Source organism: Homo sapiens, chromosome 4, assembly GCF_000001405.40.
Source record: "Homo sapiens chromosome 4, GRCh38.p14 Primary Assembly".
In the NCBI taxonomy this organism is placed as follows: Eukaryota; Metazoa; Chordata; class Mammalia; order Primates; family Hominidae; genus Homo; species Homo sapiens.
Genome location: NC_000004.12, coordinates 82,501,465 through 82,518,647, shown reverse-complemented (window position 1 = coordinate 82,518,647; position 17,183 = coordinate 82,501,465). Strand labels below are relative to the sequence as shown.

Sequence of the window (17,183 nt, the reverse complement as noted above, 5' to 3'; positions counted from 1 at the left end):
AAAAAGAGAAACCCCTCGTATGTCTCAAAGGATGATCCCCCCAAACTCCGCCCTGCCCTACCCTCCCACCTAGGAGAGGAAAATGGTGTCAACGTATGATCCACTTCATAGGGAAGTAGAGGCGGCTGAAGAAGGCAGCTGGCATAAAAAGCTGTAAAGGGACAGCCAGGAGAGGACTGTCCTATAGAGGTAGCCCAGGACAAAGCCCAGTGCATCCCGGGTCTGGTAAGCAACACTGGAGCCTTTGGAGAGCCGCTGAGGGGCACACTGGCCAGAGGCCAGGGCACGGAGCAGCTCATGCCGGTCACTACTTTCTTTCTTTTTTTTTTTTTGAGATGGGGTCTCGCTCTGTCATCCAGGCTGGAGTGGAGTTGCTTGATCTCGGCTCACTTCAAGCTCCACCTCCCGGGTTCAAGCAATTCTCCTGCCTCAGTCTCCCCAGTAGCTGGGATTACAGGTGCCTACCAATATGCCTGCCTAATTTTTGTAGTTTTAGTAGAGATGGAGTTTCACCATGTTGGCCAGGCTGGTCTCGAACTCCTGACCTCAGATGATCCGCCCGCCTCAGCCTCCCAAAGTGCTGGGATTACAGACATGAGCTACCATGCCCAGCCTGGTCACTACTTTCTGAGAATATTTTTTAGTCTCTGTAAGGAGAGGTAGGAAACATGTCAGTCCTCTTAGCAGTGAGCTTGCAAGTTGTTGTTAGAATATGTTATTGCTCTACGTGCTTCATTTTCTTGGTTAACTATGGAGCCACTTTGTCTGATGACTGTATAGTCAGTTTTCCAGAGAAACAGAACCAATAGGATATATAGAGATATAGAAGAGGAGATTTATTATGAGAATTGGCTTAGGCAATTATGGAGGCCAGAAGTCCCATGATCTGCCATCTGCAAGATGGAGACCCTGTAAAGCTGGTGTTACAATCCAGTCCAAGTCTGGAGGCCTGAGAGCAAGGGGAGCCGATGGTGTAACTCTCAGTCCGAAGCTGAAGGCTTCAGAGCCTGGGAGGGGTGCAGGTATGTGTCTGGAATCCCAAGGCTGAGACTGGAGTTCTGATGTCCAAGGGCAGTAGAAGATGGGTGTTCCAGCGCAAGAAAAGAGAGAATTCATTCCTCCTCTGCCTTTTTGCTCTATCAGGGCCCTCAATGGATTGGGTGATGCCTTCCCACATTGGTAAGGGTGAGTTTTCTTTACTTAGTCTACTGATTCAAATGCTGATTTCTTACAGAAACATCCTGACAAGCACACTCAGGAATAATGTTTTACCAGATACCTGGGCATTCTTTAGCCTAATCAAGTTGACACCTAAAATTAACCATTACAGTGATCTTCCTGATTTTGCTCCTATTTCTGAGGACACACTCTTATTCATATCCTGTAACCTTATAAGTGCTTAAAATAAACATGAAATGACATCATTGGTGGGAAATGAGAGAGGATTTAAGGAAGCTAGGGAAGGCTGATAATTTACAAGGTCTGTTCCAGGTCGGTTTTTGTACAGGGTACTGTATGAAGTGAGAAACTACATTGGGTCACCTTTCACGAGGTGTGTGGAGCACCAACAGGCTTTGGAAGGACAGGCATCAGGCAGTTAACTGCATTTTACAAGTCCCTGGTCTCACTGTTTTTCATTCTGGTCGTGTAGTGGTCCTAAGCGTTCTGGGGAGTTCGGGTTCTGAGTTGTTGATTAGTTCTTCTGGCCATAGGAAGGATGCAGGATGATGTACAACCTTCCCCACATCAGTCTGAACTCCAACAAGAAACCTATGATCTGGTATATTTCACATGTGTTTTGTCCTTCCAAAGAAGTCATCAGCGTAAAGTAATTTCTAAGAGACTATTTGAAGGATTTGTTCCTTTTGCTTCACCAAGAGGACATTAAAAGCATATTCTACATTCTCTGTCAGGTTTCTGACTGAGTTCCTAAGCAGTCATCTTTCAGCTGGAATAGATCTGCAGTTTTACCTTCTTTTTCTGGACCACAAATGGGATGGGCATCAGTGGTACTGAGACAACCATTTATAACAATAATAGCTTCCAATTATTGAATGCTTGCCATGTGCTTATCAAATAGTCTTATGTATGTTAACTCCCTTAATCTTCACCACAGCCCTAGGAAATAGGTACTATTATGATCCCCATTTTATAGATGAGAAAACTGAGGCTTAAAGAAGTTTAAGCAGTGTGTACAGTATCACCCAGCTACTAAGTGGCAGAGCCTGGATTTGAAACCAGAGAATCTGGATCCAGGCTATGTGCTCATGGTTCCTGCTCTGTTCTGAGTTCCCATTAGAATGGAGCATGGAAGAATTATCATTTTGACTATCACCCTGGTATAACACATCCACTGAGCAGCTGCCAGCTTGTTTGAGGAGGAGGTTCGAGTTTAGTGTTTGGGGCTTGATGGTCAAATGCATCTGCCTGGCATTTCTTAGTCTTCGTGTTCTACCATTAGCCACATAAGATTCAACCTGAATTTGCTTCTCGGGTCCCCATCTCTTGAACTTTCTGGGCCTGTCTGTCCTCTGGGGATCTGAGTGGTGCATTTCTTGTTGTGCTCTGGTTTGCTTCATGTTTGGTTGTTTCTCTTCACTGAACCAGGCCTGAGGTGTTGATGTCAGAGCCTAGCAAGGAGAGCCAGCATTGTGAATTGTGAAGGCTCACTGTTTGTTTTGGCACTTGGAGCTGTGACTATGGGCCAGAAAGAGGGTTGCTGTGATGCTATTTCAAAGCTGTAGACCAGGGGCTTCCAGGCACAAGGATCTCATTTTCAGTTAGCTTGTGGTCAGGCTGCCGTACAGATTTGGTTTTTTGGTTTGTTTGTTTTTGCCTTAGGGATAGGAAGGCACGTGAAATCACTGCCTATGGCTGAAGGACTAGAAGAGATTCTTTTTTTTTTTTTTTTGAGATAGAGTCTCACTCTGTCGCCCAGGCAGAAATGCAGTGGCACGATCTCAGCTCGCTGCAACCTCTGCCTCCTGGGTTCAAGCGATTCTCCTGCCTCAGCCTCCCAAGTAGCTGGGATTATAGGCGCGTGCCACCATGCCCGGCTAATTTTTTTATTTTTAGTAGAGACGGGGTTTCACCATGTTAGCCAGGCTGGTCTCCATCTCCTGACCTCGTAATCTGCCCACCTCGGCCTCCCAAAGTGCTGGGATTACAAGCGTGAGCCACCGCGCCCGGCCAAGAGATTTCTTTAGAACTGCTGAGTCAGTCATATTGGGAGTAATCACCTCACTGTCATCTATAAAATGAAATTAGTCATGTTACCCAGCCATTCCTATACTTCTCAGGGTGCTGTGCTGAATAAAATACAGTGAAATCTTTAAGGAAAACTTATGTGCGCATATTTATAAAACCTTTCTAAAAATTGTATATGTCAAAGGTGGGCCACTGCTAAGTGAGGAACCCATTCCCTGGCCTTAATTCCTCCCTGTGCTGAGGGGAACCACCTAGTCACTTGGAACTCTTGGGTATCAGTGGATTCACCAGAGTAAGGTTCTGTTAAGTTAGTGTCACCTCAGAATCGTTCTGTTAAGTTAGTGTCACCTCAGAATCAATGTACCTCTCTAGTAGCTAATGGACAGAGTGATTTTGTCATTTTTATAGAGAATAGGGTGAAACATCAGGTGAGGTGTTTGGGCTTCAATTAACAGAGTATCTGAATGTATTAGCTAGAGTGAAAGGTTCAGCTGCTATAACAACAATAAGGCAACAATAATGTGGCTTAAAAATGAATTTTTTTTTCACATAACAGTCCATGGTGGCTATTTCATATCAGTGAGGGGCGAAGGGGCTCATGATAACCAGGCCATCTGCAGCATAGCTCCTGTCTTCCGGTCATCGTGTCCCGGTTCATAGGAAATGAGTATGTGCCAGGCAGGCTTACATTCCATTGGCAAGAATTAATTCATGTGGCTACTTCACAGTGCAGAGGAAGATGGGGAGAGTCATGTAGCTGGGCAGCCATGTGCCTAGCTATTCCTCTGACACAGTGGAAGAAGAGAAGAATGGATGTTCATAGTCAGCTGGCTGTCTTTGCTGGAGTCAGTGCCTCTGACCACCAAGAATCAGTGAATGCCCCAATTTCTACACATAGAACACACTTGCTTCATCCCAAGGGAGACAAACCAAAGCCCCATCCAGTAAATGCACTGCCTGAAAATCCATGGTCGCTGGGTAACGTATGAATTATTTCCATTACGTTCCAACATGGTTCCTGATGGTCTTGCAACCTGTGAGCTAAAAGGCAAGTTATCTCCCGACTTCTGCACTCATACTCACATTCAATATACCACGGTAGAACAGGGAGCAGAAAAACACAATTAAAACTCCTATTGGAAAAAGAGGAGGAGGAAATGCACACAGCAGCCCCTGGTCCACAGCAAGGCTGGGATCCTGCAGCAGGCAATGGGAAGGCCCCTTGCCCCGGCAGAAGAGGAGCTTGCCTGACTAGACTCTGGTTCTGCTCTTCAGGAGAGCCCTTGCTCATGCTCTTGGTGTCCCTTGGTCTTGCCCTTGGGGAAGGGGCTTCTCTGTGTTCAGTTTCCTCCTTCGCCAAATCTGAAGTGGGTGCTGGGGTTATCCCCCGCCTTGGTGGCTGTTCAGCTTTTGCAGCCCACTGCCTGCTGGTGCAAATTTGGAAGTTTGAGAGTGCAACAGTCATATTACTGGCTTGGCTATGGTCCCTTTGCTAATGCAGTTCAGGTACTCAGAACTTCCAGCCAGTTCACATGCCAGCCTTCTCTCCCAACCTTCTTTCCAAGACTTGGGCTATCTGCCTACTTTATTTCTTTGCTTCCTTGCCCTCCATGTTTTCCTCTCTCAATGTAGTGGCAGCTATACGGAGCCCTCTGAGACAGTAGAGTTGGGAGGGAAGGCAAAACCCTTATTTTCATCTCCAGTCTCTTGCTGTTTGAGGTTTAGAAGTCACTGGCTTTTCCAACCCTTCAAGACACCAAATTTCTAAACTCTTCCTCTTCTTTTGTATCTCTCTTTGCAAATCAGTCCGGGTAGAGGCTCAATAGAAATGTAGTCTGCTTTTCAAGTTAGGTCAGGTGACAGGTTTTTTTTTTAAGGTCAACAGACTTTGTTGGCACACACCAGATTTTAGTCACACATTTTCCTTATGACTGTCTTTTTTTTTTTAATTGTGGTAAAATATCATGACATTAAATTTATGATTTTTTAAGTGTGCAGTTCATTGGCAAAACTGAAACTCCATACCCATTAAACAATACCTCCTCATTCCCGCTATTCCTTTTTGTTTGTTAGTTTTCCTTCTAACAGTCAGGCCCCTCTGCTGCAGGTCTGCTGGAGTTTGCTGGAGGTTCACTTCAGACCCTGTTTGCCTGGGTATCACCAGTGGAGGCTGAAGACCAGCAAAGATTGCTGTTTGTTCCTTCCTCTGGAAGCTTTTTCCCAGAGGGGCACCTGCCAGATGCCAGCCAGAGCTCTCCTGTATGAAGTGTCTCTCGACCCCTGCTGGGAAGTGTCTTCCCATCAGGAGGCACGGGGGTCAAGGACCCACTTAAGGAAGCAGTCTGTCCCTTAGCAGAGCTTGAGCGCTGTGCTAGGAGATCTGCCGCTCTCTTCAAAGCCGGCAGGCAGGAACATTTAAGTCTGCTGAAGCTGCACCCACAGCTGCCCCTTCCCCAAGTTGCCCTTCCCAGGGAGATGGAAGTTTTATCCATAAGCCCCTGACTGGGGCTGCTGCCTTTCTTTCAGAGATGCCCTGCCCAGAGGCCACTTTTTGTTTTTTGATAATAGCTATCCTAATGGGTGAGGTGGTACTTCATCTTTTTTGAAGTGGCTTTTTAAACTTCTAAAAATTTTGGTGAAATATATATAACAAAAACTGCCATTGTGACCATTGCTAAGTGTATAATTCAGTGGCATTAATTATATTCACATTGTTGTATGACCATCACCACTCTGTCTCTGAAACTTTTTCATCACCCCATTGATGAAAATTTTAAGTGAATTTTAGACATGTGACAATTGGCTGCTAAATAGTATACTCCTCTAGAAAATGGACATTTTCCTGTATAATGAAATCGTGTTATCATATGAGCCTTCATTCATTTTCCATTGGAGAGAACTTACTCACAGGGCCACACTTATTACAAAGGAGGCTGCGAAGTATAAGGTAGGCGAGCAGCCGCTTACCGAATTATAATGGAAGGAGACAGAGTGGATTTTGGTGCTCTACCACCCTACAGTAATAAAGCAATAATGACTTTTAATTTATTCACATTACAAGTTTGGAGGTAGGTGATATTGAGCATTTGGTAGTGTCTTAATGATGTTATCAAGGATTCAGTTCTTCCCACCGTCTAATCTGCCATTCTCAGTATGTTGACTTTGGGTCCTCATGTTTTTTTGTCTCGTGGTTACATTATGGCTGCCATAGCACTAGGTACCATATTTTCACTATAGCATCCCAAGTGGGAGAGAAGTAGGGTGGGCAGAAAAGAAACAATCCACTATCAAGGATGCAAATTCTTCCCATTTGCTGCTCAGTAGACTTCCCCTTGCATCTCATGGGCCAGGTTCAAAGGAGTCTAGAAAGGTACTTGTTAAAGGAAAATGAGATCACTATGATTGGCTTAACAACTCATGACCTATAGCCTTGGGCTGAGCACATTGCTGTCCCTAATAAAATTAGACTTCTATTAGCTAAGAAAAAGAGGAGAAATGACTGTTGGGTTGGCAGTTACATCTGCCACATGTGGGCAATATTTTTATTATTATTAAAGATATAAACGGACTCTGAAGAGGATCTTGGCATAGAAACTCTAAGACAGTATTATTGAATTGAAGTGCTGGTAGAAGGGAATTCCTTCTGGGATTATTCTGTCAATAGTGTAGGGACAGGCCAGGCGCAGTGGCTCACGCCTATAATCCTAACACTTTGAGAGTCCGAGGCAGGTGGATCGCTTGAGCCCAGAAATTCAGGACCAGCCTGGGCAATATGATGAGACCCTGTCTCTACAAAAATTAGCTGGGCATAGTGGCACACGCCTGTAGTCCCAGCTACTTAGAAAGCTGAAGTGGGAGGATCACCTGAACCTGGGGAGATTGAGTCTGCAGTGAGCCATGATCATGCCACTGCACTCCAGCCTGAGTGACAGAGTGAAACCCTATCTCAAAAAAAAAAAAAAAAAAAATAGTGTTGGGACAATGTGCTCCATTGATTTCTGAGAAAAAGAATCCTTAGGTCACTGGCATGAAAGGATCCCTATAGTCCTATAGTCATCTATCAGTTGAATGAAGGTGATTGCCTTTAGAAATCAAGACAGCATTGGAGAAAAACTAGTTGCCATTGGTTCTTAGGAATCATCATATTCTTTTGGGAATGGTAATGTTTAATAGAAATCTTTTACTACATATTGTTTCTTGCCAGCACTTATGAAAAATGTTGTAGGAACAGGGGGATTGGCCTCATTAATTGAATAATATTGTTTATATCTGCGGATGGAGGGAAGTCATATACTCTTAAAGTGACACCAGGTCACCTGACTATTATGCCTTCCCAAACTTAGGATTCAGTGAAAACAAAATTTTCTTTGTTAGCAGAACAAGTGTGACATTTGTTGGTTGTGTTTCATATCTCCCCAGGCTGATTTATATCCGAGAGCCTGCAAACATTTTAGGGGAAAAACAAAATAAACAGTCCTCATCATTACCCCTTATAATTACAAATGAATGATAAGATAATAAAAGCCCTTCACACTTGCCCATGACACAAAAGAAAAATAAGATTCACAGGTGGTTAAAAAACAAACCAAGGATGCTCTTGGTTCATGGGCACTGTGACAGTCGTGGTCATGAGTGGGCGACTCGTTCATCATTTCTGCTTCATTCCAGTTGGCCCTGAGAGCAGAATGAAAAACTATTGTAGCAGGAAGCTCATTTCCTGATAAATTACAAGACAAAAAAAGATAACCAAAGACCCCCAACAGCACTTTCAGCATAATACAGTTAACATTTATTGAAATGCCTACTGTATGCCAGCCACTGTTCTGTGTGCTTTAAACATATTTTCAATCCTCAGTAAAACCCTGTAAGGTAGATACCATTATTATTTCCACTTTGCTGATGAAGAAACTGAGGCACAGAGAAGACTTAACCAAGGACACACAACTAATAAGAGGCAGAGCTGGATTCCAAGCCCTGGTAGCCTGGCTCCAGAGTCTGTGAACTATAGCTACCTCTCTCCATTGCCCCAGGGAGGACAAAGTCCTTCTATTTATAATAAGCAAGTCCCTTCCAACCCTTGGAAATATTAACTACAATGACACTTCACAGTCATTGTTGTAAGTGGTTCTCACTAATCAAGTTTTTTTTTTGTTTTTGTTTTTGAGATAGAGTCTTGCTCTGTCGCCTAGACTGAAGTGCAGTGGTGCGATCACGGCTCACTGCAACCTCCGCCTCCCGGGTTCAAGCGATTCTCCTGCCTCAGCCTCCCAAGTAGCTGGGACTACAGGCGCGTGCCACCATGCCCGGCTAATTTTTTTTATTTTTAGTAGAGATGGGGTTTCACCGTGTTAGCCAGGATGGTCTCGATCTCCTGACCTCACGGCCCTAATAAAGTTTTTAAAGCTGTAAATGAAGATTGGGCTTTACTTTTCCATTTGTAGCTTCCATTTCCATTTGCTGCTTGATAAAATAGAAAGTTTGTCCTCAAGGATTAGCATGGGTAATGGTATGCTATGTTCTTTCACTCTGTAGCTTCAGTAGCTAACACTGTACAAACTATCTGTTTTGAATTTGATGACAGAAGTATGAATAATCATGTGAGTTTGACTTTATTTATTTATTTATTTGTTTGTTTGTTTATTTTTTGAGAAAGAGTCTCACTCTGTCACCCAGGCTGGAGTGAAGTGGAGCGATCTCGGCTCACTGCAACCTCCGCCTCCTGGGCTCAAGCGATTCTCCTGCCTTAGCCTCCTGCATAGCTGGGACTACAGGTGCGTGCCACCACACCCTGCTAATTTTTGTATTTTTACTAGAGATGGGTTTCACCATGTTGGCCAGGTTGGTCTCGAACTCCTGACCTCAGATGATCCGCCCACCTCAGCCTCCCAAAGTGCTGGGATTTCAGGCTTGAGCCACCCCACCCGGCCGTGAATTTTGACTTTATAAAGACCCCCTTTTCAAACCAACTAAAGGAGTTAAGAGTCTTAAATAATAAATTAATATGGGCTTATAGTAACACTCTGTTCACTTCCACAAAATCGTACATTTTCAAGTGGCCAGGTGTTCTCTTGGCTATCTGCAGCTTGAAGACTTCCAGAGCAACAAAAATGTCAATAGTGGGAGCCTCTGCAGACCTCATGCTACAGGTCATTTTCTCTGAGAGGAACAAAGAGAACTGCAGGGATGCCAGGTCACAAAGCGAGCGGTAGAAGGTGGGGATTTTCATCATCTGACTCAAAGTGTTGAAGAGCCCCACTGTGCAGTCTCACTCACACCACAGATTGAGTAAAAGAAAGTGAAGATAACTCAGACTTAGGGAATGACATTTATTGGAAGAAAAGAACATGCGACAGAAATATACAGAGAGTTTGCAGTATTGGCTCTTTAGGAAGAGTTGACCATCTGGATAACAGCTTTGCAAATCATTTGGATAAATGATACCATTTGGAGGAGAGTCTTCCAAAGCAAATCTAAATGCCAGAACCCTTTCAAGAAGGTTTATGCAGTTCTGGCTTTTTTCCTCCATTTGTTAGAAGCTCATGAGGTGACGTTGTCCTAGATATAATTAACCATTTAGGACATGGGAAGAATTATCTTTAATTTTTTTACTGTGAAGTATTATTGGAAGATTAATATCAACAGAGTAAATATTATGTAGAATAAAAAAGAAGTACGGGCCAGGTGCAGTGGCTCACACCTATAATCCCAGCACTTTGGGAGGCCAAGGCAGGTTGATCACCTGAGGTCAGGAATTCGAGACTAGCCTGGCCAACATGGTGAAACCCTATGTCTACTAAAAATATAAAAATTAGCCGGGTGTGGTGGCAGGTGCCTGTAATCCCAGCTACTCAGGAGGCTGAGGTGGGAGAACCACTTGAACCCAGGAGGCAGAGGTTGCAGTGAGCAGAGATTGCACCCCTACATTCCAGCCTGGGCGACAGAGTGAGACCCCATCTCAAAAAAAAAAAAAGCACAATTCAGAATGTAAAGATACAACAAGCCAGGTGTGGCGGTGCATGCCTATAGTCCCAGCTACTAGGGAGGTTGAAGTGGGAGGATCTCTTGAGCCCAAGAGTTTGAGTTCAGCCTGGACAACATAGTGAGATGCCATCTCTTTAAAGAAAAAATGCAAAGACAAAACTATTTTAGGAGTATGGAATATTCCATTCTTCTCCCCCTCTTTCCTTAAAGAGGGAAATGTACTCTTCTAGCTGGGAGGAAACTTGTGATTTAGCTCAGGGAAAGAGTGGAACTTATTCTTGCTAGGAAATATAAGTAAAGTTTGGGTGACACTTTCTAATGTGACTAGAAGCAATGGGCCAGTTTATTTTCATGGTGTCTGGAAGGATGCAAGAAAAAGATCCATCTCCTACTTTTAACTTTAATTCTCAGGCAGCAGTAAGGCAAAGTTAACAAAGTTAATTTGCCCATGGCAGTGGCTCACGTGGGTGGATCATTTGAGCTCAGGAGTTCTAGACTAGCTTGGGCAACGTAGTGAAACCTTGTCTCTACAAAAAATACAAAAAATTAGCCAGGTGTGGTGGTGTGCAGCTGTAGTCCCAGCTACTTGGGGGCTGAGGTGGGAGGATCGCTTGAGCCCAGGAGGTTGAGGCAGCAGTGAGCCATAATCACTGCACCCCATCCAGCCTGGGTGACAAAGCGAGATCGTGTCTCAAAAAAAAAAAAAAAAAAAAAAAAAAAAAAAAAAAAAAAGAGAGAGAGAGAGAGAGTTAATTTAATATATTGTTTATCCTTTGCAAAAAGGTACTTTCAGTCAGGTATCTGAACTTGTCAAGCCAAGGCAGCTCAGAGAGTCCTGTGAAACTAAACCAAATTAAACATTCATCTCCAGGAACCTCCTGGAATCCTTTCCCAGTACCTGGAGCAGCGAGCACATCAGAGTCGTTTCTCTATTGCGAATTCTTTAGTCACAATATAAGCTGACAAGCGCAGGTAAATGAGAATCAGTGGCTAAATGGGACATCCCAGTACCTTGAGCCAGGAAATTAGTATATAAAGCTATTGTAGCTTGATGCCATAGTCTTAGAATTATCTTGTTAACCCTCTTCACTCTACCTCCCTGCTTGAAAATTTCGATTCCCATATAGACATTCCTAAAAGGGGAGCCAGCATGAGTATTTGTCCATTTGACAATTGTGCCTCCCATTGTACATTAACAAGTTGTCATTCTGATTTATTCATCAATCTGTTGTAACAATAGTTAACATTTTCTCTGGGGCTGATAATTCTGAGTACTTTGGATCATTCTGTTTTTGCAAAGGTATAAAATACCAGACTTGGCTTAACCTCCAAGGTACTGCCACTCTGTCCTTGACATCCTTCTCCCTTTCTTTGCATTCAATAGTGTTCATTTAGTTGAATCTCACAATCTAGGTTTCAGCTCCTAGATTCTGTAACACCATAAGAAAATGGTGTCACAGATTTAAGTAACGACCCAGACCCTATTAGTCAGTTATTGGGAAAGCCGAGGTTGGGAACCAGATCTCCTAAGCATCTTGGCTGTACTCATCCTATTTGAGGACCCTGTTTCATTGGCAGACCTAGAATAATTGGTTTACTTACTCAATCATCACTCCTATTTTCTGTGCTCCCTCTACATTTGGCTACTTATGGAATTATTTTTGTTGGCATAATGGATAGCTTTATTATGAGCCCACAACTTTTTGGACATAAATAAATGAATAGAGACTCACTAGCAATACTGTGTATGCTTAAAATGTTCACTGTTCTTCCGTATTATATAAACTAGAAAGCCATGAACCACTAGTTCATACAATAGCTTTTATATATTGCGTAGAATGTTACGTATAAATAGTCGTATTCATTAGACCTTGCCTCAGTATTTCCGCCACCTGATATAGTACCTGGCACAGGTAGGGTGTCCATAATTTTGAGTTGGATTGTATTGGATTAGATTAGTTGCAAATTAAATTATTGAAAGTGGCTCTAATATCTTTCAACTCTATTCTGTAATTTAGATCTGTAAACTAGATTCTGTAATTTATTTAACACCACTGCCCAGATATGTGTTTAGACAAAGGCACAACTGTTGAAAGACACTTTATTAGGCCCAGTGTCTATCTCTTAGTCTGAAAGATCTACGTAATCAGGTAGACCAGTTCTGGGAACTAAGACCTCCTGAGATGTTGCAGATGGGATTGGTTCGCCAGCCTGAAGCGAGGAGCATCATGTTTCCTCTCTTGTCTCAACACTTGGAAGGTCTAGAGAGTCCCAGCATATGAAAGCAGATGTCTTGGAGGTATTCACAAATGGGGCAGTGCTGGTTCAAACCAGTAAACAAACTTTCTTTAATTGTAAAAAATTGTAAAAAAAAAACAACAACTTGTTTTAATTGTAAAACTCAAAATAAAGAGCATTGATATCTCCCTAGAGATGCCATTTAATCACATTGTTCTTCTGATTGTCAGGTCCCCAGTGGAGGTTACTAGAGCACTTAATTTCCTTAGAACAGGTGTTTTTGCCATAAGGATTATGTTGGCATCCAGTGTCTCCGATAGATTTTGTCTGGCAGTTAAGGCATAAAGTGATAGTTATTTCTTTATGTTTAATACTGATAATTTTTCATAGATACTTCTGGAGCTTCTAGTTTTCACTTCATTTGTGTGAGGGGGGATTTTTTATTTCTATATTTTTGTAACCTCCAAAACGCCAGACATATGTATTTTTTTCAGTCTATTTATTAGCACTAATTTAAAGTTATACACAATGCATTGTTTTACAGAACATTCATCTTTAGTCTCCTGCGATTGCTGCTCAATAACATGTCATGAGAAAAGTTCAGATTTGCAAAGCATTTGTCATTTCCTCCTGATAATTGCTAATTTATTTAGTAACCATTTGTTTTTAACACCTTTGTCTGCCAACCTATAGATTTATGTACAGATCAGCTCCATACATACATAAATGTTCATATTAGTACTAAAAGTAGGTTGAAGTATACCTTTGGTACTTAGCTCTTCTAGCGAAAGTCCTAACCTAACCCAAACTCTTTTGTCTTTTCTTAAATGTATCAATACTTATACAAGGATAAATGTTTTTATGAAAAATTTTCTGGCCGGGCACTGTGGCTCATGCCTGTAATCTCAACACTTTGGAAGGTCAAGGTAGGAGGATCACTTTGGGCCAGGAGTTCAAGACCAGCTTGGGCAACATAGCTAGACCCCATCTCTACAAAAAAAATTTAAAAATAAAATTTCTATTAATTCTTAACTAAAACTCTGGAACATTTAAGCTAGATAACAATCATCCATGTTAACTGTTTCAGGGATTTCCCACATGAGTAGGTGAGAATAATGATACCAATTTGAATCATGGTTTCATAAAATACACTTTTTTTTTCAGTTAGACTAAACTTTCTTTTTTGTTTGTTTTGAGACAGTCTCGCTCTGACGCCCAGGCTGGAGTACAGTGGCGCGATCTCGGCTCACTGCAAGCTCCGCCTCCTAGGTTCACGCCATTCTCCTGCCTCAGCCTCCCAAGTAGCTGGGACTACAGGCGCCCGCCACCACGCCCGGCTATTGTTTTGTACTTTCAGTAGAGACGGGGTTTCACTGTGTTAGCCAGGATGGTCTCGATCTCCTGACCTCGTGATCCGCCCACCTCGGCCTCCCAAAGTGCTGGGATTACAGGTGTAAGCCACCGTGCTTGGCCCAGTTAGACTAAACTTTCTATCTTGAAAGAGTGAAGTAAATGTTTTGCCTTAATTATTAATACGTGTTTATTTTATTTCAGTGGTACAGGCATGGATGGGAAGAAATGCAGCGTATGGATGTTCCTACCTCTTGTATTTACTTTGTTTACTTCAGCTGGATTGTGGATAGTGTGAGTATTTGCTCATTTAATTATTTAAGGATTCAGGTGCAATGTAGATACAAATGTAAACCTTAATAGTATATGGCAGCCGGGCACGGTGGCTCATGCCTGTAATCTCAGCACTTTGGGAGGCCGAGTCAGGCAGATCACTTGAGGTCAGGAGTTTGAGACCCTTGCCAACATGGGGAAACCCTGTCTCTACTAAAAATACAGAAGTTAGCCGGGTGTGATGGCACACGCCTGTAATCCCAGCTACTCGGGGGGCTGAGGCACAAGAATCGCTTGAACCCTGGAGGCAGAGGTTGCATTGAGCTGAGATTGCGCCACTGCACTCCAGACTGGGCAAGAGAGCAAGACTGTCCCCACCCCCCCAAAAAATAGTAGATGGCATATCTTTATGACTGTATTTATAAATACTTGAAAATAATATATTTTACTAATTCAACCTTGCTAAAGTCCTCATTTCTTTTCCCATTTTCTATTAACCAAAGTAAGTAACAAGAGTGAGTAATAATTATGCAAAGCCGGTGGTGAAGAATACTAGTTTATTTTGTGTTCATGTGTTCTTGTTGTAATGAACATTTTGTAAACAGGTTATATGAATTAATTATTTGCAAGATTTTCGAATTTGACACTAACATGCCATGGGTTCCGTCTGCAGTCCAGTTCATAGTCCAGTTATTCATGATTGGGTCTGATATGTTTTTGTTTTTTGTTTTTTGTTTTTGTTTTTTTTTTGAGACGGAGTCTTGCTCTGTTGCCAGGCTGAAGTGCAGTGGCATGATCTTGGCTCACTGCAAGCTCTGCCTCCTGGGTTCACGCCATTCTCCCGCCTCAGCCTCCCAAGTAGATGGGACTACAGGCGCCCACCACCACACCCAGTTAATTTTTTGTATTTTTAGTAGAGTCGGGGTTTCACCATGTTAGCCAGGATGGTCTCGATCTCCTGACCTCGTGATCTGCCCGCCTCGGCCTCCCAAAGTGCTGGGATTACAGGCGTGAGCCACTGCGCCCGGCCTGATATGTTTATAAAATGAATATCATTACATTGGAAGTCCTGGCTTACCACAGAACGTTCCCACACTTGCTTATTTTAGGTAATATTCACTTTAAGAAAATTATTTTAGTTTCTCAAAGTTTGTTAGGAAAGGTAGGACACATATTCCCGAGAAGTTAGAAACTGAACCCTAATTTTAGTTTGCTCAAAGTTGTAAGTTCTATTTCCTTGTTTTCTAGTTTCCAGTTTATAAGCATGGCCATTACTTTGGGGATGTTTTGAAAATTAAGGAAATATTACTAATAATGACATTTGAGCTTCAAAGAACTAGATGATCTATGGGTAAAGAATTGTAAAAGAGCATTTCTCAGTTAGAAAAAATGAATATGAATTAGTGCAGTTAGTTTAATAAAACTGGGAAACAAATGATTCTTTTTTCCAATTTCTTTGTTCTATAAACTTATTCTTTTTTGATAGATACTTCATAGCTGTGGAAGATGACAAAATTTTACCATTAAATTCAGCTGAAAGGTAAAGTTTATCTGTGGGTAATTCGTTGTTCATCAAGAGATTTAGCAAAAACTTTCCCACTGGGAAGGTTAAACTGCACAAATGACAGTGCTTTAACCTGAGCTTCTGTGTTTTTTTTTTTTATTATCCAGGAAACCTGGTGTGAAGCATGCACCATATATAAGGTAACCCAGCAATTCTCTTCTGTCCTGTGGGACCGTAGGAAAAGTTAGGAGGATTATAGATTTTGATATAGTAACTATAAAACATTTCATCTTTTTCAAGCATTGCAGGTGATGATCCTCCTGCAAGCTGTGTGTTTAGTCAAGTTATGAACATGGCAGCCTTCCTAGGTAAGAAGAGGGTAAAGAACGCTTTATGTGCTTTGGTACATTTCTTTTGTATTTTAAATTCTCCCAAACCCTTGTCAAAACAATGGGGGGCTTATTTGATCATTTAGTATCATACGATGTCAATATGCTGAAGCCAGCTCTTTGTCTTAAAGGTCTTTTTCTCTCGTACATCCATTTACGTTCACCCTGCTGTCCTTACATTTTCTCTTCCCTTTACCATCTTTATCATTTCAGATACTCTTGACTTGATCTATTTTGCTGCATAAAATAATATATTTCATGATATAAAATCCTGTATGAGAATGTAATATTGTATAATACATTTGCTTTGAAAAGAATGCTTTATTTATTCCTTCACTAGCAAAGATGAAAAAAATGCATGGGCTTTGTGATATTTGTTGATGTGTGTAGATACTGTCTTTAAACCTAAAGGTCAACATCAGCATTAGGATTACACTCTCTCCTGTGCCTATAGACATAGTAAGCTGGCAAATGGAGAAGTAAGCTTAAAAAGAAGAAACCTTTAGTACTCATATCTAGCCCCAGTTCCTTTTTCTTTGGGGCCCAAGACCCTCCTGTAATATTCTGTCCCTCTGTGAGTGCGTCCATGACCCTGCATAGTCCTCCAGAGATGGTGGGAACCAGCCATGCACTCTATCCTTTTTCTAATCTACCTTGTATACCATCTCCTCAGTGCCAGGCTTTCCCAGTGTCTCTCCAAGAGTCAACTGGCTATCACTGTCAGGATGATGTTAGGATGGACCAAAGACAGCCCATCCTTCCCACAATGGTGTTCTGGAAGTGGTTCTTTTGATGGTGAGACTTTCACTCCAAGTAAGAGGTAGTATTATTACTGAGGGAATATTCAACCTTTGTGGGACGTGTCTCCCAAAGAAGTAACCTGTTATTTCACCTCCACCCCTCAAAATTCCTACTCGCTCTTAATGTATTCTTTTTTAATATTTGCTATAAGAATGGGAAGACCTTTAGAAGTCAGTGGAAAATCAAGGGAGACAGGTGGTCCAACATGCAACACAGGCAGAAACTTAGCTGGTTCAGAAAGCCCAGAACATGAGAAACATGGAGAATGTTTCCCGTCAGGCTCATCAGGCCTCTCTTGAACCTGAAGCTTCAAAAAGAAGTACGCTGGGGAGCTTCTGTGCAGTTAGCAAGATTCTTCCCTGGAGCTAACCACCTTTCCATCAAAGCTCTCCCCAGCCATCCCCAAAGCGTATCCCATTTGCCAAAGCAGGAGGTGTCCG

The 17,183-nt window shown here is 42.3% G+C and overlaps 1 protein-coding gene across 3 annotated transcripts in view; it reads left to right on the top strand.

Annotated features, from left to right (window-relative positions):
• Positions 1 to 17,183, top strand: part of TMEM150C (transmembrane protein 150C) — a 79,078-nt gene that overhangs the window by 43,606 nt on the left and 18,289 nt on the right. For all 3 annotated transcript variants that reach the window (NM_001353454.2, NM_001353455.2, NM_001080506.3), the window contains exons 2-5: positions 13,981 to 14,070; positions 15,536 to 15,589; positions 15,721 to 15,753; positions 15,854 to 15,921. In NM_001353454.2, coding sequence (NP_001340383.1) covers positions 13,981 to 14,070; positions 15,536 to 15,589; positions 15,721 to 15,753; positions 15,854 to 15,921 — 245 coding nt within the window. The remainder of the gene's footprint in view (positions 1 to 13,980; positions 14,071 to 15,535; positions 15,590 to 15,720; positions 15,754 to 15,853; positions 15,922 to 17,183) is intronic.